The following is a 21,752-nucleotide window of genomic DNA, read 5'->3' on the forward strand; positions in this document are numbered from 1 at the left end:
TGACCAAAGATAATCCTGGCTAACACGGCGAAATCCCGTCTCTACTAAAAATACAAAAAATTAGCCGGGCGAGGTGGCGGGCGTCTGTAGTCCCAGCTACTCGGGAGGCTGAGGCAGGAGAATGGCATGAACCCGGGAGGCGGAGCTTGCCGTGAGCCGAGATCGCGCCACTGCACCCCAGCCTGGGTGACAGAGCGAGACTCCGTCTAAAAAAAAAAAAACACTAAAGATATATAAACATTATTGTAATTAATAGGTTAAAAAAATAAAAAGACTGTCTCTGCCTTAAGTGCAGCCTTGCTGCTTTGTTCAGTGACTTCTTGGATGGCATCAGAGAAGTCCTCCTTGCTTGACTCTAGTCCACATAAATGTCTTTTTGGATGAGGCCAGAACTCCCAGGTAGCATGTTAAGGAAGATATTGCAAGAGTCAAGAGGTGCTGTAGTGATTATCAGCTCCACATTTCCTAAAGTGTATTCACCTGGTGTTCATCCACACCTCAGTTATGAATTAGCCGTTACATGAAATATGTTTTCATATTTTTAGAGATTGGGAAATGACAGGTGAACTAAAATTAAGCCATTTTATGTATTGCAGACCTTTTCAGAGCCTTTAATATGGTAGTGGGATTCTGTTAATGGAAATTATTGTATTCAGTGTTTCTCTAACTCGTTTGTTCACAGAACCTTTTTTTTTTTCAGAGCGTCTTATGAATCTATTTTTTCATGGAACAAATTTTGGGAAACGCTGCCATGACCTAACAAGCTGATGTATAACACTGGTGGCAATCAAGATTTTTGTGGGTGGTGTTGATTGTTCTCCTGAAACTCATAAGTGGAACAGTGCACAATTTCAAGATCAGTTTGCCCAGGCTCTGTTTTGCTTTTAGTCTCTCGTATACAGAAAGTTTAAAAAGATATGACTTGTACCCAGATGTCATCTACACAGCGCCTGTCATCCTGTGGAATGACTCATCCCTTGAAAATGGTGGATAGTGCTTTTTACCTTGATGATGAATAATGATCCTTGTTTCATTTACAAAGATGAGACCTAAAATACCAGCCTTCCTAAAAATACTATCACCTGTTAGGCCGCTGCGTTTCCTTGAAGGTTAGCTTCCATAGGTCAGGCCTTCACTAATGCTCTGCTGAAGTGCTTCAGGAATAGTGAAGGAGGGAAGTCTCAGAGGAGTGGAGATTGGGCTAAGTGACCTCTGTTGCTCCTTCCAACTCAACAGTCATGAGTCTTTTCCCCAGTCAGTAAAACCTGTTCTAGAATTTTCTTAAATCCTTTTGATCATTAAATGAGTTTATGACCTTACATTTTTAAGAACAAATTTAAGCAGAATTTGTTTCTAGCATAAATCTTTTTCCTTCAAAGAAGAGAGCTTATTCCTCTTTTATCAGCTATGTAGCTGCAATACTTGTATCAGTAATTTTATTTTACTGTTTTTATTTCAATAGGTTTTTGGGGAACAGGTGGTGTTTGGTTACATGAATAAGTTCATTAGTGGTGATTTCTGAGATTTTGGTGCACCCATCAACCGAGCAGTGTACACTGTACCCAATGTGTAGTCTTTTATTTCTCACCTGCCTCTCACCCTTTCCCCCAAGTCCCCAAAGTCCTTCTTATGCCTTTGCATCCTCATAGCTTAGCTCCCACTTATGAGTGAGAACACACGATGTTTGGTTTTCCATTCCTGAGTCACTTCACTTAGAACGATGGTCTACAGTTTCATCCACGTTGCTGGCAATGCCATTATTTCATTCCTTTTCATGGCTGAGTAGTATTCCATGGTGTATATCACATTTTCTTTATCCACTCATTGATCAGTGGGCATTTGGTCTGGTTCCATATTTCGCAGTTGCAAATTGTGCTGCTATAAACATGCATGTGTAAGTATCTTTTTCGTTTAATGACTTCTTTTCCTCTGAGTAGATACCCAGGAGTGGGATTGCTTATTGGTGATTTTAATTTGCATGTAGTTGATGTATGAGTACTTGCTGTAGCTAGCTGTTAGGATACCCTACAACTCAGCACTTGTTTTTAAGCAAAAAGTAGTAAAAACTTTAAAGAAGTGTTACAGTTAAAATTATATATACATTTATATTTTATGTATGTATAAATATATGTGTGTGTATGTGTATATATATATATACACATACACACACACAGTTAAAAAATATATATATATACACACACACACACACACTTACAAGGGGTTTGGGGCACTCATCCCCCATGCAATTGAAAATTTTTGTGTAAGTCTTGACCCCCTGAAAACTTTACTAATAGACTGCTGTTTACCTGAAGTCTTACTGATAACATATGTAGTCAATTAACACATATTTTGTATATGTATTATATACTGTATTCTTATAATAAAACAAGAGAAAATACTAAGAAAATCATAAGGAAGAGAAAATATAGAGAGGGGTTGGTCTTACTGTCTCAGGTGTGGCAAAGGTGGAAGAAAATCCATCTATAAATGAACTCATGTTGTCTGAGGGCTTGTGTGTCTGTGTGTTGTGTGCACATATATATACACCCCAATAATATACAGAATCTAATGAACATTTTGTTTTTCATCTTGTAGGAATCATTTATGTAATATGCTTAAATACTTAGTACTTTGTTTTTGTTAATTTTCATATTATTTATTTGATGCATAGATTCCATATGCTCGTATATATATTATGAAACAATGTTAAGAAGAAAGCTATGAACCTATACGCAAATTTAGAACCAAAACATTACCAATTCTATGGAAGCCACCTGTATTTCCTTCCCAAACCCAGTCTCTTTCCGTTTTTCAGAGATAACCATCATTAAAAATTTTGTATTTATAATTCTCTTGCTTTCTTTTCATTTTATTACATATACATTTATCCTTTCCCAATAAGGTGTTTAATGGTGTTTGCTTTTGAGCTTTATGAAAATGGTTATCGTAATTTAAGTAGTCTTTTTGTTATTTTTTTCCAATCAACATTGTACCTCTAAGAGTCACTCATGTTGTTTGGGTAAACTTTATTTTATTGCTCTTTATTACCATATAATATGACATTATGTGAATATATTCCAATTTCTTTATTCTCCTCTCGATGGCCATTTTTTGAATGCTGGCCCACTCACTAGTGGTAGTGAAATCAACTAGTGGTAGTGAAATCAACTTAATGAGTATAGTGGAAAAGATTAGTGTGCATCACATGTAGAGGGAATATTGTTCTGTTAAAAGGTGTTTCATGTGGGTACTTAGTTTCATTGTCAGATATACAAAATAATGACATTGTTTTCTACAATGCTTTTAACAAGTTATCCTTATAGTAGTGGGTTCCCATTACTCCATATCTCCACCAATTGGAATTGTCAGACTTCTACATTTTTACCAAAATGGCAGATATAAAATGGTAATGCTTTGTGGTTTTAATTTGTATATTCCTCCTTACGAATGAAGTTGACCAAGCTTTTATATATTCAGTAATAGTTACAATTTCCTCCTTTAAAAAGTGCTGATCTTTAGCTCATTTTTTTTAGGGTTGATTTTTTTTTCTGGCAGTTGTATTTTCTTATATATGTCTTTTTTCTAGTGTCTTTCTTTTTATTGTTTTTTCAACCATCATGACAATTAATATAAATATGTCTTTTAATCTTTTCTTTTATGGTTAGTGTTCCTTATTTTTATTTTCTGTGATGTCATTCAATGGTCTAAAATATAAGATATTCTATATTTTTTCCCTTAGGCGTTTTAATATCTCACCTTTTACATTTAAGTCTTTAATTCATTGGTATTTGACTTTTGTGTACCGTGTAGAGTAGAAACCCTATTTCTTTATTTTTTTCTCATTTGGATAAACAGTTGACCCAGCACTACTAATTAAATAAGTCATGTCTCCTCTTCCTCTCCCCCAATCTTAGATAACACTTTTTTATCTGTCATTTTTTTCCATTTTTGTGAGTTTATTCCTGAACATACCCTTCCTTCTGTTTCAGTGACCGATGCAAACATTGATATAATACTTTCTTAATTACTGTGACTTCAGTAAGTTTCAGTATGTGGTCACTGAAGCTCCCTCAACTTATTCTACTTAAGGATAATCTTATTTTTTCTTAAGCCTTTGCATTTCCATACAAATTTTATTTATTTATTTTGTTGTTGTTGTTGTTTGTTTATTTTGAGACAGGATCTCTCTGTTGCCCATGCTGGAGTACAGTGGTATGATCATAACTCACTGTGGCCTTGAACTCCTGGGCTCAAGAGATCTTTCTGCCTCAGCCTCTTGAGCAGCTGGGACTACAGGCATGCATCTTCGCACCCAGCTATGTTTTCATTTTTGTAAGACAACGTCTCACTATGTTGTCTAGGCTGGTCAAGACCAGTCTTGGCCTCTTGGCCTTCAGTGATCCTCCTGCCTCAGCCTCCCAAAGTGCCAGGATTTCGGTCCTGGGCCACTGTGCCAAGCCTTCCATATAAATTTTAGATTCTGCTTGTGAAATTATTTTTTAAAATTCTTATTGGGATATTTAATTGAAGCTGCATTGCTATGAAGAGAACTGATATGTTTTCAGAACTAATTCTTCCCATTCATATATACACTGTATCTCTCCATTTACCTGACTTCATTCATGTCTTTTACTAATTTTTAAATTTTTCCCTATGAAGACATTGCTCATCTTTTGTTAAATTTATTTCAAGTTTCTTTGCTGTATGGAATGAATTTTTAAATTAGACTTTTGAGTATGTACTGGTTATATTAATTTTGTTATATTGATCTTGTATCTAGCCATCTTTCTCAAGTTTTATTATTTATAATAATTTCTGTAGATTACTTTGGATTATCTTTGTGAACAAACATATAATCTTCAAATGTCAGTATAGGTTCTTCCCTTTTAGTTTTAAAATCTTCTATTTTAGTTGCTTACTGAGCTGGGTAGACAGTAATAGTGGGAATCCTTGTCTTACTCATGATTCTAAAGAGCATGGTTTTATTTTATTTTATTTTCACCCTCTCCCCAAGGGCATGTTTTTAACATGTTTCCAGTAAGAATAATGTTTTATAGGTGCTTTTTAAAAATAAGTTAGGGATTTTCCCTGTTATATTTTTCATCAACAGACATGGAGTTTTATTAAATACTTTGTCTGCATTTTTGAGATAGTCTTATTTTGCCCTTTAATTTGTGCATGTGATGAATTATACTTGCAGGTTGCTAAAGTTAAACCATTCTTACATTCTCTAGTAATTAATCAAACTTTTTCATAATGTGCTAATTTTTTTAGGACTTCTGTGTCATTAATACATGAAGATGGTCTATAATTTTCTTTATACTGTCCTTTTCTAATTATGGTATCCAGTTATGCTTGTTTCTCAGAATGAGTTGCACTGTGTTACTTCTTTTTCTATTTTTTTCATAATAGTATATTAGGCATATTAAGAATTTATATTCTTTGTATAAGTTTAGAAAGAAATATTTCTTGAAAATTTACCTGTAAAACATCTTGGTCTTCTGTTTTCTTTTTGGAATGATGTTTAATTACTGGTTTAATTTCTTTGATATTTATAGAATGACTCAGGCTTCCTCTGTATTCTTTAGTGAATTTTGTCTTGCTTTTGTTTTTCTAAATGGCCATTTTGTCTAAGTTTTTTTTTTAAAAACTTGCTCACAAATGTTATATATCTTTTAAATCTCTGTAGCTTTTCTGTTTATATTCCACTTTTATTTCCTATTATTATTTACCTGTTTCTTTTTCATTTTTTCTCTGAGTAAATCTTGTAGAGGCTTGCCATTTTGTTAGTTTTTTTCAAAGAATTAACCTATATGATTTTTACTATATTATTAGTTTCTTTTTTTATTGTTTTTTCTTCTAATTTATTGAAGTTTATTCTGTTTACTTCTTAAATATTTTCTTAAATATTTTCAGCTTCTTAAATATTTTCAGCTTCTCTTCTAAGAAATTGAGTTTCTGTATTTTTTCTAAATATCATTTTGCTACCGAACAAATTTGATATACAGTATTTTCATTGTCTTTCAACTCTAAATATTTTAAATTCCTAACAGTAATTCTTTTTGACCTGTTATCGATTTAGAAGTGTTTACAAGATCCCAGATTTGTTTGCTGTTAAACTTGTTATTTATTTGAATTTAAATTACACTGGGGTCAGAGAACATCATCTTTGTGACTTCTGACCTTTGATATTTGTTGAGATGTGCTTTACAGACTTACAAGTGGTTAATCTTTGAAAATAAATTATTGTGTGCATAAATCAATCTAATAAATCTTGCTATCTTATCCTTTTCAAATCCTCTATGTCCACTTTTTTTCTGCCTTACTTCTCTAACTGAAAGAGGAATAATGACATCTATTGTGGCAAAATTTCCAAGGCTTCCCTGAGTTTCTGTCAGTTTGATTTTTATATTGTGTGATTCGTATCAGGTACCACCAAATTCAGAATTCTCGTAACTTCTTGATGAGTTAAAGTTTTCTAACATTATATTGCTGTCCTCTTTCTTTCATAATGTTTTTTTTCTCCCTCAAAGTCTATTAGATTAGTTTGAAATAGGCTGGTATATGTTTTTATTTCTCTTTTGATCTCCCTGATTGTTTGTGTTTTAGATACAGCTTTTTATTATTAGCACAGAGCTAGATTTTTTGTATCTGAGCTGAGCATCTTTTGCTTTTAACTAGAATATTTAGTTTATGTATGTTTTGTGATATATTTGAGTCTGTGTTTACTATTTTACTTTGTGCTATTTTTTCTATATTGCTTTATGCAGCACCATTTTTTGTTTTCAATCATTAACTTTTTATTATATTGTCTGTTACTTTGGAAGATATATACTCTATTTCTACTCTTTCAGTGGTACCCTTGTAATGTTTATTACATTTTAGTTTAACAAAATCTGCTAAGAGCTTAGAACACTTAACTTCAACCACTTCACCTTCTTGATTCACATGATATTGTTGTCTTGTATCTCAGTTCCATCTTCAAAGTTTCTTTTTTACTTTTAAAATTTACATGAAGTAAAATTTACTTTTTTGTAGACTCTTATTTGTTTTAACACAGACATAGATTTATGTAACCTCCACCACAAACGAATTACAGAACAATTCTGTTACCTCAAAAAGTTCCCTCATGCGGCATCTTTGCAGTCAAACCTTCCCCACCCCCATCTACATCACCCACTGCGCTGCTTTCCGTCCCTATGACTTAGCTTTTCCAGGGTGCCTTATAAATGAAATCATTCAGTATGTATGAGGCCTTTGGGGACTGGCTTTTTACACTGAGCGTAATGGTTTGACATCTATCCATGTTGTAGCATGTATGAGTGGTCCATTCCTATATCTTGCTAAGCATTTTTTGTTTGTTTGTTTGTTTGTTTTTGAGATGGAGTCTCGCTGTGTCACCCAGGCTGGAGTGCCATGGTGTGATCTCAGCTCACTGCAACCTCCACCTCCTGGGTTCAAGCGATTCTTCTGCCTCAGCCTCCTGAGTAGCTGGGACTACAGGCACCCACAACCACATCCAGCTAATTTTTGTATTTTTAGTAGAGATGGGGTTTCACCATATTGGCCAGGTTGGTCTCGAACTCCTGACCTCGTGATCTGCCCTCCTCGGCCTCCCAAAGTGCTGGGATTACAGGCGTGAGCCATCGCACCCAGCACCTGCTGAGCATATTCTGTCATATGCACCTATTCTCTAGTTTATCCATTCACCTGTTGAAGGGCATTTGAGTTGCTTCCAGATTTTTAGTATTACAAATAAAGCTCTATGGACATTCACAGAGTAGGTGTGTGTGTGTGTGTGTGTGTGTGTGTAACATAAATGTTCTTTTCTCTAGAGTGGCTCTGCTGGGTCATATGGCAAGTGTATGTTCAAGTTTATGACAAACTGCCAAAGTGTTTTCTACATCGGCTGTACCATTTTGCTGTGCCCAACTCCTAGCAATGTGTGAGAGTTCCAGTTATTCCATATGGTCAAGAACTTGATGTGTGTGTGAGTGTGTGTTTGTGTGTGTGTGTGTTGTCACTCAAATACTAGTATCTCATTTTGCTCTTAATTTACATTGTCTTAAGGGCTAATAATGTTGAACCATCTTTTCTGTGCTTATTTTCTGCTTATCTGTCTTCATTGGTTAAGTTTTTATTCTGATTTCTAGCCCATTTTAAATAGGATTTTTTTTCTTATTGTTAAGTTTCAGAGTTCTTTGCATGTTCTGTATACAATTCTTATATATGTGAGTTACAAATAATTTCTCTCTTTTTCTGAGTTATCTTTTCATCTTTTAACAGTGTCTTTCACAGAACAAAAGCTTTTAGTTTTGAAGAAGTCTAATGTATCATTTTTTTTCTTTTATGAATCATGGTTTTGATGTTCTAAGAATCCATTGTCTAAAGCAAGGTCACAGATATTTTCTTCTATGTTTCCTGTAAATATTTTATAACTTTTTTTAATTGAAGTGTGTGATCTATTATAAATTAATTTTTGTGAATTATGTACAAATGGGCCAGGGTTCATAGTTTTGCCTATTTATGTATTCTGTAGCAATTTGTTAGACTATCCTTCCTCCATTGAATTGCCTTTGTGCCTTTTTTAGAGACCACTGATCATATTTGTCTAGGTCTACTTTTTGTACTTTTATTCTTTTCCACTGATCTGGGTTTCTTTATTTTTGCCAAGACCGTACTCTCTTGATTGACTACTTAATTTTATACTAAATCTTAACATTGGATCATGTGAGTCCTGCTTTTCTTTCTAGAAAATTTTAACTATTTCCTTTGTACTTTCGTATCAATTTTAGAATCAATTTGTCTGTAACTATAATAAATCTTATTAAGATTTTGATTGGGATTGCATTTAATCTGTGATCAGTTTGGGGAGAAGTGATATCTTTGCCAGATACAAATACCACAGACATGCTTTTTCTCTCTATTTAGATTTGCTTTTATTTATTTCATAAGCATTTTTTAGCTTTCTGCCTATACATTCTGTACATGTTTTAATGGATTAACACCTAAGTGTTTTTTTAAGAAACTGTCAGTGGTATTTTTTATTTCAGTATTCATGTGTTCATTATTAGTATGTACAATTTATTTTTGTATGTTTATCTCATATGCAATCTTGCAGAAACCATTAGTTCTACGAATTTTTTTATAGGTTCCTTGGCATTTTCTACATAGACTATTATATCATCTGCAAATGGAGACATTTTTATTTGTCCCTCTTATATCTACATGCTTTTTTTCTTTTCTTGTCATATTACACTAACTTAAACTTCCAGGACCATGATGAATGAGTGGTAGGAGCAAATGCACTTGCCTTGATTCCTGTTTTGGAGGAAAGCATGTAGTCTTTCAAAAGTATAGATTTTTTCATATATGTTATTTATGAAGTTGAGGAAGTTTCCCTCTACTCCTAGTTTTCTAAGAGTTTTTTTTTTGTTTTTTTTTTTTACCATGAATGGGTTTTGAATCTTGTTAAATGCTTTTTCTACATTAATTGCTATGATCGTGTGGTTTTTCTTCCTTACTCTTTTAATACAGTGAGTGGATTACACTGATTGATATTTGAATGTTGAACCAACTTTTTATCCTTGGAATAAATCCCACTTGGTTTGTTATTCATAATGGTGAATTAGTCATACATAATGAAAAATTATTTTTATACATTGCTGAATTACATTTGCATTGACTGATAGATTGATTGACTGATTGACAGGGCCTTGCTCTGCTCTCCAGGCTGGAGTACAAAGGAGTGATCATGGCTCACATTGAACCTTGACCTCCTGGGCTCCAGCGATCCTCCCACCTCAGCCACCCGAGTGGCTAGGACTACAGGCATGTACTACCATGCCTGGCTAATTTTTTCTCTCTCTCCTTTTGTTTTTGTAAAGTTGGGGTTTTATTATGTTGTCCAGGCTGGTCTCAAACTCCTATCCTCAAGTGATCCTCCACCTTGGCCTCCCGAAGTGTTGGGATTACAGACGTCAGTGACCATGCCCAGCCTATTTACTTTTATTTTGTTAAGGACTTTTACACCCATATTCATAGAGGAATATTGGTCTATAATTATTTTTTTGGTCATGTTTTGATATCAAAGTAGTATTAGATTCATAAAATGAATTGAGAAGCGTTCCTTCTTTCATTTTCTGGAAGAGATTGTTTAGAATAGGTGATATTTCTTTTTAAAACATTTGGTAGAATTATCTAATGAAATCTTCTGGGCCTGAAGATTTTTGCAGGGAAGTTTTTAAAGTACAAATTCAAATTTTTATAGCTATAGAGAATATTCAAATGATCTATTTCATATTATGTGTATTGCAATCATTTTTGTTTTTTTTTTTTTTAGGAATTTGTCCATTTCATCTAAGTTGTCAAATTTGTGTGTGTAGGTTTTTCAAAGGCATCCTTTTGATTTCTGCAGGGTATGTTAATGATATTCCCTGCTTCATTCCTATTGTTGATAATGTTCTTTTCAGTCTTGCTAGAGATTTTTTAAACTTTATTGATCTTTTCAAAGAACTCGCTCTTTGAGTTTCTTTAGTTTTTGTTGTTGTGTTGTTGTTGTTAAAGTCATTATTTTCTTCCCTTATGCTATAATTTCCTTCTTCCTGCTTGCTTTGGACTTTATTTGGTCTTTTTTCTAGGTTGTTGGAGTAGGATCTTTTATTGACTTGGAACTATTCTTTTCTAATGTATAGATTTAATGCTATAATTTTTTTCCCAGCACAACTTTGGTTGTGCCCAACATTTTTACATGTTATGTTTTTATTTCATTCAGTTTAATTTTTAAACATCTGCCTTGAGACCCTCCATGGATTATTTAAAAGTTGTTTAGTTTCCACGTATTTGAAAATTTTCTTCTTATGCTGCTGTTACTGATTTCTCATTTGATTCCATTGTGGTCACGGAACAAACTGCATATGACTTTCATTCTTTCAAATTAGTTGAGGTTTGTTTTGTAGTTCCAGATGCTGTCTATCTTGGTATATGTTCCGTGGAAACTGGAAAATAACATATATTCTGCTCATGTTGGGTGGAGTGTTCTGTAAGTATCAATTAGATCTTATTGGTTAATGGAGGTGTTGTGTTTTTTATATATTGTTGCTGATTTTTAAAATTTAGTTCTATTAATTATTGAGAGAGAAGGTGTTGAAGTTTCCAACTATAGTTGTGTATTTGTCTATTTCTTCTTTTCATTGTATCAGTTTTTTGCTTCATATATTTTACAGCTCTGTTTTTTGGTGGATATACACTTAGGATTGTTGTGTCTTAGTGGCTTGACCCTTTTGTCATTATTTCATGCTCCCCTTTATCTCTGGTAATTTTCTTTGTTCTGAAATTGTCTTTATGTGACATTAATATAGATACTTCTGCCTTTTTGGATCAGTGCTTCCATTATGTCTTTTCCAATTTTTTATTTTTAAGCTGCCTGTATAATTTATTTGAAATGAGATTCTTGTAGACACCATATTTTTAAATCCATTCTTCTAGTTCTTGTCTTTTAATTGGTGTGTTTAGGCTGGTTACATTTAATGTAATTATAGACATGTTAAACATAAATCTGCCATTTTTGTTTATTTTTTGTTTTCTGTTCTTTCTGTTTTTCATTGCTTGTATTCCTTTCTTCTTTCTTGTATTCATTTCTTGTTTTCTTGTATTCCTATGGGTTAATTTATCATTTTTGAGAATTCCATTGATGTATTTCTTGTGTTTGTCTTGTTCCATTTTGTGCTCTAACAGAATGCCACATTCTGAGTAATTTATAAGAAGCTGAAATTTTATTTTCTCAGAGTCCTGGAGGCTGGGAAGTCCAACAAGGGGCTAGCATCTGGTGAAGGCCTTCTTGAAACATTATAACATGGCAGAAGGGAACACATGGGTGAGAGAGCAAGAGGGGGCCAACCTTGTCCTTTTATAAGAAACCCACATCTGTGACAATGAACCCACTCCCACAATAACAGCATTAATCTGAACACTTCCCATTAGATCCCACTTCTCAACACCACTGCATTGGGGATCCGGTTTCCAACACAGGAACTTCAGGAGACATATTCAGCTTTTAGCATTCTGCCTCTGACCCCCAAAATTCATGTCTTCACATGAAAAATGCATTTGCTCCATCTCAATAGCCCCAGAATCTTAACTGGTTCCAATACCACCTCAAAAGTCCAGAATCTCATCTAGATCAGATATTGATGAGATTCAAGGTACAATTCTTCCTGAGGCAAACTTCTTCTAGCTGTGAGATTGTGAAATCGAAACAAGTAATCTACCTTAAAATGCAGTGGAGGGAAAGACATGGGATAGATGTTCCTATCTCAAAAGAGAGAAATAGGCAAGAATAAAGGGATAACTGGTTCCAACTAAGTCCAAAATCCAATAGGGAAAATGTTAAATCTTAAAGCTAGAGAATCATTTTTACTCCATGTGTAACTTTTGAGCATACTGGGGTGGAGGTTTTGACCTCAAAGCCTTGGGCAGTCCTGTTTTCATGGTTTTGCTGGGTGTGGCAGTTTTCTCAGGCTGGGGCTATGTGCTGGTAGCTCTACAGTTCTGGGGTTTGGGGGCAGCCCTGTCCCCATGGCTCCACTAGGCATTGCCTTAGTGAGTACTCTCTACAGTGGCTTTGTCCCCACAGTTCTGCTGGGCATCACCCTAATAGACTCTCTCTGTGGTGGTTCCACTCTTGTGACATGTCTCTTGTGACATGTCTGTGCCTGGATCCCTAGGCTGTCTGATACATCCTTTGAAATCTAGGTGGAGGTAGTTTTGTACCCCTGTCTCCAAAAATGTATACCTCCACAGCTTATGAACTCTGTGCACCAGCAGAGTTAGCATTATATGGATGCCACCAAGCTTACCACTTATGCCCTCTGGAGAGCAGCAGCCCAGACTACACTTGGGGTTACTTGAGTAATGGCTGGGGCAGCCAAGGAGCTCTGCACTGGAATGCAGGGAACAGAGTCCTTGGGCAGTGAACCCATGGAAGGCATCTTGGGCTAGTCTGATGAAACCATTCTCCCCTCCTAGAGCTCTGAGCCTGTAATGGGAGGAGCAGCCTCAAAGATCTCTGAAATATCTTGGAGGTAATTCTCTCATTGCCTTGATGAATAGCACCTGGCTTCCTGCTATCCATGCTAAGCCTTTTCTCAAAGGGGACACTTGGCACATTTTTGTGTTTTACGTGGCCAGGCTGTGAATTTTCCAGATGGTTACATTCTGCTTCTCTTTTAATCATAAATTCCACCTTTAAATATTTTCTCTCCTCTTGCATCTTACTGTATGCAGTTAAAGGAAGCCATGCAGATTCTTCCATATTTTGCTTAGAAATTTCTTCCACCATGTATCCTAGTTCATCACTCTTAATTTCTGTCTTCATTAAAACCCTTGGGGATGGACATAGTTCAGTCAAGTTCTGTATAACTTTATAGGAAGGATGGACTTGACTTCAGTTTCTAATAAGATATTTTTCATTCTCATGTAAGACCTCATCAGAGTGGTCTTTACTGTCCATATTTCTGCCCACATTGTGATCATTAATATCTAAGTAACCTCTAAGAAGTTTTACCCTTCATACAGCTCTTCTCTTCTGAGCCCTCACCAGAATCACCTTTAACTCTTTGTTCACAGCAATGCAGCCTTTTTCTAGCCTGCTCTTCCAGACTCGTCTAGTCTCCACTATCCAGTTCCAAAGCTGCTTCCACAATTGTAGGTATTTGTTATAGCAGTACCTCACTCTCTGGTACCAATTGTCTTTGTGCTGCCATAAATGAATACTATGGTCTCTAATTTATAATAAACAAAAATTTATTGGCCGCAGTTCTGAAGGCTGGGAAGTTTGAGATGGAGGAGCTAGCGTCTGGCAAGGTCCTTCTTGCTACATTGTAACATGATGGAAGTCATCACATGGGCAGGAGAGAGCAAGAGGGAGCTCACGTTGTCCTTTTATAAGAAACCCACCCTCATGATAATGAACACACTCCCACAGTGACAGCATTAATTCATTGAGGGTTGTGTCCCCTTACCCATATACCTCCTCTTAGGCTTCACCTTTCAGCACTGCTGCATTGGAGATCAAGTTTTCAACATGTGAACTTTGAGGAACACATCCAAACCACAGGAGTATAGTTGAGATGGCTCTAGGTGTTACCTACTATTTACATAACTTATCATAGTCTGCTGCTATCATTATTTTACCGGTTTAAGTGATAGCTTCCTCCATCCTTGGTATTTCAAGTTTCCTTCTTTTATCATTTTTGGGGTTTTTTTTTTTTTTAGATGGAGTCTCACTCTTGTCACCTAGGCTGGAGTGCAGTGGCATGATGTCGGCTCACTGCAACCTCTGCCTCCCCAGGTTCAAGCGATTCTCCTGCCTCAGCCTCCTCAGTAGCTGGGATTGCAGGTGCGCACCACCACGCCCGGCTAATTTTTTGTATTTTTAGCAGAGATGGCCATGTTGGCCAGGCTGGTCTCGAACTTCTGACTGCAGGTGATCCACCCGCCTTGGCATCCCAAAGTGCTGGGATTGCAGGCGTGAGCCACTGTGCCCAGCCTTTGGGTTGTTTTTAGATAACTTTCTTTAGCAATAAGAAGCCTGCTGATGACAAATTTTGTCAACTTTTGTATATCTGAGATTGTCTTGATCTCCCCTTCATTTCTGAAGAATATTTTCATTAGCTAAAGGGTTCTAGGTTGACAGTTTCTTTCTTTCAACCCTGGAAAAATGATGTGCCACTTTCTTTTAGTCTCCATTTTTCTTGAGAAATCTGCTGTCATTCTAATTGCTTTTCCCCCATTGTTAAGGTATCATTTCTTTCACCTTGGTTTCAAGATTTGTCTTTAGTTCTTAGAAGTTTGACCATGATGTGTCTTGGTGAGGATTTCTTTATGTTTATCCTCTTTGGGGTTTGTTCAGCTTTTTAAATATGTAGGTTTGTGTCTTGTGCCACATTTGGGACATTTTTAGCCATTATTTCTCTGAGTATTTTTTAGCCTATCTTTTTTTAACTTTTTTATTGTGGCCAACTTAGTCTAATATAGCTACCATTTTTTCCCTTCTTCTTCTGGGACTCTGATGACATAAAATATTTGATCTTTTGTTATAGCCCCACAGGTCCCTGAGGGTTTTTTTGTTTGTTGATTTGTTTGGTCTATTTTTGCCCTGTTGTTCAGATTGGAAAATTGCTGTTATGCTTCCTCCAGTTCACTGATTCTTTCATCTGCCCGCTCTGTTCTGCTGTTGAACCCATCAACTGAGTTTTTTTTTTTTGTCAATTAGATTGTTGTATTTTTCAGATCTAAAATTTTTGTTTCTTCTTTATATCTTCTATTTTCTTTCTGAGACTTCCTATTTCATTTATTTCAAAAGTGTTTATTACTACACGTTGAAGCATTTTCATAATGAATACTTTAATTGGAATCTATTGTCTTTTTTTCTTTCAGTTTGAGTTTTTTTTTCTGCTTCTTGGTGTGATGAGTAACTGAAATCTGGATATTATGGCTGTTATATTATGTGACTCTGGATCTCATTTAAACTTTGTCTTGTAGCCAGCTTTCTCTGATGCTGCTCTAGTGGGGGGAGCAGTTTCTAGTGCTTTGTTTCTGATGAGCTGGGGTAGAAGTCCAGATTCCCCACTTGGCTGGCCTTCATTGACCCTTCGAAGATGGAGGTTCTTCTTGTTAATACTTGGTGGGTGTGGGAGTTCTGGTTCTCTACTGGGCCTCCACTGATACCTCAGTGGCTGGTGGGAGTGGGGTTATGAGTGTCTCATTATTGCTCCCTACTTGGCTTTCACTAATACTGCAGAAGGGAGCAGCCTTGTTACTGCTGGGTGTTGGCAAGAGTCCTGTCTGTCCACTAGGACTCCTTTGACACCACACCAATGGGAAGGTGAAGAGATGCTTCGTTATCACCACATGGGCGTGGGTGTCCAGGTGACCATATGATTTCCACTGGTCCTGCAGCAGAGGAGGATGGGCTTTGTCAGTTGCCTAGTAGTGATAGACGCTTCCACTCCCTAGATGGATGTTCTCTTTATGTTTCTCAGTGTTCTCTGATGCTCCCACACTGATGAGGGGTACGGGCTTGGGTGGTTGTTACAGCCTGGTAGGAGTAGAAGTCAGGGCTCCCTACTCAGCTTTTGCTGGCTTGGGTGGAGTAGGACACAGTTCTTTTCTGTGGTGTTGGCTGCAGTGAGCAGTTTTCTAAAAAGTGTCTGTCTTTCTAGGCTGCTCCTTTCTTTGTCCTTTGTCTACAGAGACCAGGCTTTTGTTGGGGTTTGTTTTGTCTGAGCCTCTTGGTGTTTTAGGTGTTGCTGTTGTTCTTAAGCTCCAAGTCTGAGAAATGTGAAGGACAACACTTTTACCATGTTATTCTGAAGGTTCCCAGCCAGTATGCCTTCCTTCTCCTTTTCAGGGTCTTACGTTTCTAAACAATCCTAGGTTTTTAGTTGTGTGAGTGAGGAGAATTGCTAAAATACATTCACTCCTTCCTCCTGGAAGCAGAAGTCCTACTGCTTATTTTTTAATATATCATTTGTTCTTTGATATTTTATACATGTATTATAGTCTTTGATCATTGCAATAGTCGAAATTCTTTAGACTTCTTGTATGTTGTTTCTTCTTTCTCTGTACTCTTAAATCTTGATGATTTGTTTTCATGTGAATTTGCTGTGTTTGTGTGTGTGTGTGTGAGAGAGAGAGAGAGTGTGTGTGTGTGTGTGTGCACGTGCGTGCGTGTTGTCAGATAAAGAGAGAGTGAGAAAGAGAGGGGGAGAGAGAGAGAGAGAGAGCGTTAAATCAGAATGCTTTGTTCCTGAGAGAATTGGCACTCTTCTCTGACATGAGGCAGGCAGTGCTAATGGGTTAGCTGGGACCAGTTCCTCCAGCATCCAGGTTCTTTCTCTAAATGTAGAAGTTTCAGGTTCAAGCCCTCCACTTTCTTGTGGACATAACACTTGGTTGCCAGACCGTGGTGGTGGCATTTGCATTAGTTGCCAAGATTCAATACTGTCTCTGTGTTTGTTGTTAATTGATCCTTTCTCAGATTTCTGCTACATTAGCTTACTTATTTGGGGGAGGCCAAGCGTTATGGGTGGGGAAACCTTAATTCTGATACTTAAAATATATACATATCTGGAAACAAAGGCATACATTTGTTGTCATGAATCCAGGTTCCAATCTGTAGCAGGAGAGTCTTCAGGGTATCTGCTTTGCTGTGTTTGCTGGTGTGTTGGTTTTTTAAGTTTCCTAATAAATTCTAGTTTTCTCTATTCTCTTATTAAATGTTTCTACTACTCATGTCTCTGTTTTTCTGGTATTGCCTTAATTGAAGAGATTAGGGAGTAATTATGAGGCTCTGTTGTTAGTTTTGTTACTGATATGTTTCTCAATGTTCTTTTTAGGGCTGAAAAGACAGAAGTTTTGAGTGAAGACCTTCTTCAGGTAAGGCGGCCATTGACACTGGCTCACAGATACCAGAGATATATGGGAGGCTGAGGCAGGAGAATTGCTTGAACCCAGGAGGTGGAGGTTGTAGTTAGCCGGGATCGTGCCACTACACTCCAGCCTGGCGATACAGCGAGACTCTGTCTCAAAACAAACAAAAAACAAACAAATAAAAAAACAAACAACCAAAAAAACCAAAAAACTAAGCCATCCCTCGATGTGGTTAAAACTGCTCCAGCTGCTCCTTACGAACTGTTAGGAGAGAAGTTTTTTTGTCTTTTACGACAGTACTTTGCATGATGAATACTGATTTGGGTTAAGCTCTTTCAGGAGAGGTTTAAAGTCATTTCACCACAGTTAGCCCGAGGGTCCTGGAGTCTGTGATCACTGCCCCTCCAGTTCTCCAGCATTGAAAGCTGTCTCTCATTGCAGTTTTGATTTGCATTTCTCTGGTGACCAGTGATGATGAGCATTTTTTCATGTGTCTGTTGGCTGCATAAATGTCTTCTTTTGAGAAGTGTCTGTTCATATCTGTCACCCACTTTTTGATGGGGTTGTTTGATTTTTTCTTGTAAATTTGTTTCTTTGTTAGAATGGTAATCATTAAAAAGTCAGGAAACAACAGGTGCTGGAGAGGATGTGGAAAATAGGAACACTTTTATGCTGTTGGTGGGACTGTAAACTAGTTCAACCATTGTGGAAGACAGTGTGGTGATTCCTCAAGGATCAGAACTAGAAATACCATTTGACCCAGCCATCCCATTACTGGGTATATACCCAAAGGATTATAAATCATGCTGCTATAAAGACACATGCACACGTATGTTTATTGTGGCACTATTCACAATAGCAAAGACTTGGAACCAACCCAAATGTCCATCAATGATAGACTGGATTAAGAAAATGTGGCACATGTAAGCCATGGAATACTATGCAGCCATAAGAAAAGGATGAGTTCATGTCCTTTGTAGGGACATGCATGAAGCTGGAAACCATCATTCTGAGCAAACTATTGCAAGGACAGAAAATCAAACACCACATGTTCTCACTCATAGGTGGGAATTGAACAATGAGAACACTTGGACACAGGCTGGGGAACATCACACACCAGGGCCTGTCATGGGATAGGGGGAGGGGGGAGGGGGAGGGATAGCATTAGGAGATATATCTAATGTAAATGACGAGTTAATGGGTGCAGCACACCAAGATGGCACGTGTATACATATGTAACAAACCTACACATTGTGCACACGTACCTTAGAACTTAAAGTATAATTTAAAAAACAAACAAACAAAAAAACAAAGCTGTCTCTCCAGGAGTCCTTGTCTCCATGGAAACATGAGTTGTGATTGTCCACACCCACAATCCCTCCTCCCCTGACCTTGCCCTCTCTCAGTGGCACCACCCGCTCTTCTCTCTGCAGGTGGAGAAGCGTCTGGAGCTGGTGAAACAGGTGTCCCACAGCACGCACAAGAAGCTCACCGCATGTCTGCAGGGCCAGCAAGGGGCAGAGGCTGACAAGCGCTCCGTAAGTGCCCTCCCAGCCCTGGGGAGCTGAAATCTTGCCTACTGAGGACAAGGTTCCTACTCCTGTGACACTCCTGGATGTAGCTGTTTATGTAGCTGCTTACGTGCCTGAGAATTGACTCAGCAGCTCTAGCTGCCTATTTTCTGTTTTCTGTGGGGTAATGACCCTCCCTACTGTTCTTGCTCTTTAGCCCAGCCTGAAGCATCCCCCGCCCTCCACAGGCAAGTTGAGGTCCTCTCCCTGTCCTCCCCAGCTTGGAGCAACTGGGAAGACGGCAGGGGCGTGCTTGAGATCCCACCTCTAGGGAAGCTTTATCCTTGATCGATATCTGACCCCTGATTCAGCTCATTCATAGATTGCATTTGCCTCAATAGTATCTTAAGATCTCATGGAAAAAAAGTGTATTGTGGTTTTAGAGGTTACAAGTGACCTATAAAGGCCCTTGAAAATTGTTTTCGCCCTAATGAGACACAATAAAAAGAGCCTGCTAAATAAAGCTTCTCTAATGCCTTTGTCTATAACCTGCATTAGAAATAACAGGCATTGTATAATGCGATTCCATTTCAACAGTTCTTGGCATGAACAGCCTCTGCAGGTTTACCTTCCTCTTGACCCCATCCCTCTCAGCCCCACCAAAGATTAAAAGATATTCTTAGACATTCACTTGGCTTTATTACAAGGGATATACAATCTAGGTTTTTCTCCTCCTTCCTTGAGTTTATAATCTACATGATTGGTATCATTTAGACATTTTTTTTTTGACTTGCAGTTATTGCTGATTTCTGCATCCCCTTGGTCCCCCGATGCCCCTCGGCTTATGTTAGCCTCATTTCTGTTGGACTGTCATGTAATGTGCCACAATACTTCTTCCCAGCTCCTGCCGCAGTGCAAAAACCCACTCTACTTGTCCTACGAGTCATTTCTTTTTTTTTTTTTTTCCAAGCCCTGGTTTCTTCTTTCTTAATATTCCCAGCAGGAATCATTTGTGTGTGTATAAATAAAACTTTCACAGCTCTGAAAAATATCTATAGAAATAATTCTGCATGTATCAGGAATTCAGCAAGAGGAACTGTCTAAAGGGAGAGTTTGCAAAATGACTTTGGGCATGAAACCCTTTTATCAAACCCACATCTAATGGGGGACTCCAGGAACGGTTCCGGATGGGGGTGCTGGAGCCAAGCCTGCCTTTGATCTGTGTCTTTTTTTTTTTTTTTTTTTTGCTCTAAGAAGCACTATTTTTAAAATAACTGGTCCAAAGTACAGTATGTTTTGGTATCGGGAGTATCATCTGAATGCTACCACCAGAGGCTTGAATTCGGCCTTTGGTGTTGGTAGGCGGATTAGTACTAACATTATTTTTCTGGGATCAGATGAATTTACCTGGATTGGTGGAGTTTTCATTGGATTGAGAGTCTTACGTATTATATCAGTAAGGATACATTTGGATCCTTGAGTGATCTGAAGTATAGGGCACTGATAGAAGATTTGAGGTATGGCAAAGCCAGCAGATCAGGAGATGATTGCCAAGGAGAGATAATTATTCACCCTCCCCAAGAGAAGGGGACAGGCCACATCACCCAGAGGGCCACAGGGGAAGCTCTAGGGTTGGTCAGGAGGTAAAGGAGGGGACTGTGGGCCAGAGCCTTTGTTGTGGTGTCTGCAGCAGATATAGGATTGATTAGTTTGAATTATTACGGACGATTTCTAGTTGTCTGACCTACCAGTCAAGGGTGATTAGGGCAGATGAACAGTGGCCTGCGGTGTGACAGCCCCTTAGAGGAGGTTGTTGAAGTGTGAGCTCCAGATTGGTTTGCATTTAAAAAGCATGCTGTGAGTGAGTTGTTTACTATTTCTAGGAATTGCCTAGCCTGGGAGGGGCAGTCCCTCTAGGGTCAGCAAGGGCCCAAGATGTTGTCAGAGCATCTGAATACAGAAAATAAAACACATGGTTAATAACTACACTGCTTCCTAGAGACTTGAGAAAAAGGCACTTAATTGCCTCACTTAACAAGATTCTGATGTAGCCAGTTCCAAGGTTTATTCAGCAGCTTTGGGTCAGCAGCTATGTGACGCTTGGGCCTCCACTTACAACTGTAATGTGGCTGCTCCAGCTCCACGCATCACATCTTCACATAACCATATCACAGGCAGGAAGTGGGAGATTGATAAGACCATGAATTCATTTCATTTATGTTTCTCTAGCTGCAAGGGAGGCTGAGAAGGTGAATATGTGTCCAAGATAAATGGGTTTGCTATGACTGGCCATGATTCACCAGCGAGGACGTACACTATCTGGCTTCTCTTACTAGAGAAGACACACAGTGGTTGTTACCAGGCTCTGAAGGCTGCAGTCACATGCATGCAGTGATAAACGTGTAAACTGGGAGAAGTCCGCAGTGGAAGTAGGTGCCCAAGCATGTATAGGTCAGTGATTTCACTGCATGGATTTATTTATTTATTTATTTATTTATTTATTTTGAGACAGAGTCTCACTCTGTCACCAGGCTGGAGTGCAGTGGCGCAATCTCGGCTCACTGCAACCTCCACCTCCCAGGTTCAAGTGATTCTCCCACCTCAGCCTACTGGGTAGCTGGGACTACAGGTGTGCGCCACCATGCCCAGCTAATTTTTGTATTTTTAGTAGAGACAGGGTTTCACCATGTTGGCCAGGATGGTCTTGATCTCTTGACCTCGTGATCTGCCCACCTAGGCCTCCCAAAGTGCTGGGATTACAGGTGTGAGCCACTGTGCCCAGCCTCACTGCATGGATTTTAAGTGCTT

General features: G+C 37.9%; 1 protein-coding gene across 9 annotated transcripts in view; it reads left to right on the plus strand.

Annotated features, from left to right (window-relative positions):
* Positions 1 to 21,752, plus strand: part of ARHGAP44 (Rho GTPase activating protein 44) — a 202,146-nt gene that overhangs the window by 88,043 nt on the left and 92,351 nt on the right. For all 9 annotated transcript variants that reach the window (NR_135569.2, NM_001321167.2, NM_014859.6 and 6 more), the window contains exons 2-3: positions 17,400 to 17,439; positions 18,867 to 18,971. Coding sequence is in view for 7 of the 9 variants with exons in the window: in NM_001321167.2 (NP_001308096.1) it covers positions 17,400 to 17,439; positions 18,867 to 18,971 (145 nt within the window). In the remaining 2 variants the exon portion in view is untranslated. The remainder of the gene's footprint in view (positions 1 to 17,399; positions 17,440 to 18,866; positions 18,972 to 21,752) is intronic.

This window comes from Homo sapiens, chromosome 17, assembly GCF_000001405.40.
Source record: "Homo sapiens chromosome 17, GRCh38.p14 Primary Assembly".
Taxonomy (NCBI): domain Eukaryota; kingdom Metazoa; phylum Chordata; class Mammalia; order Primates; family Hominidae; genus Homo; species Homo sapiens.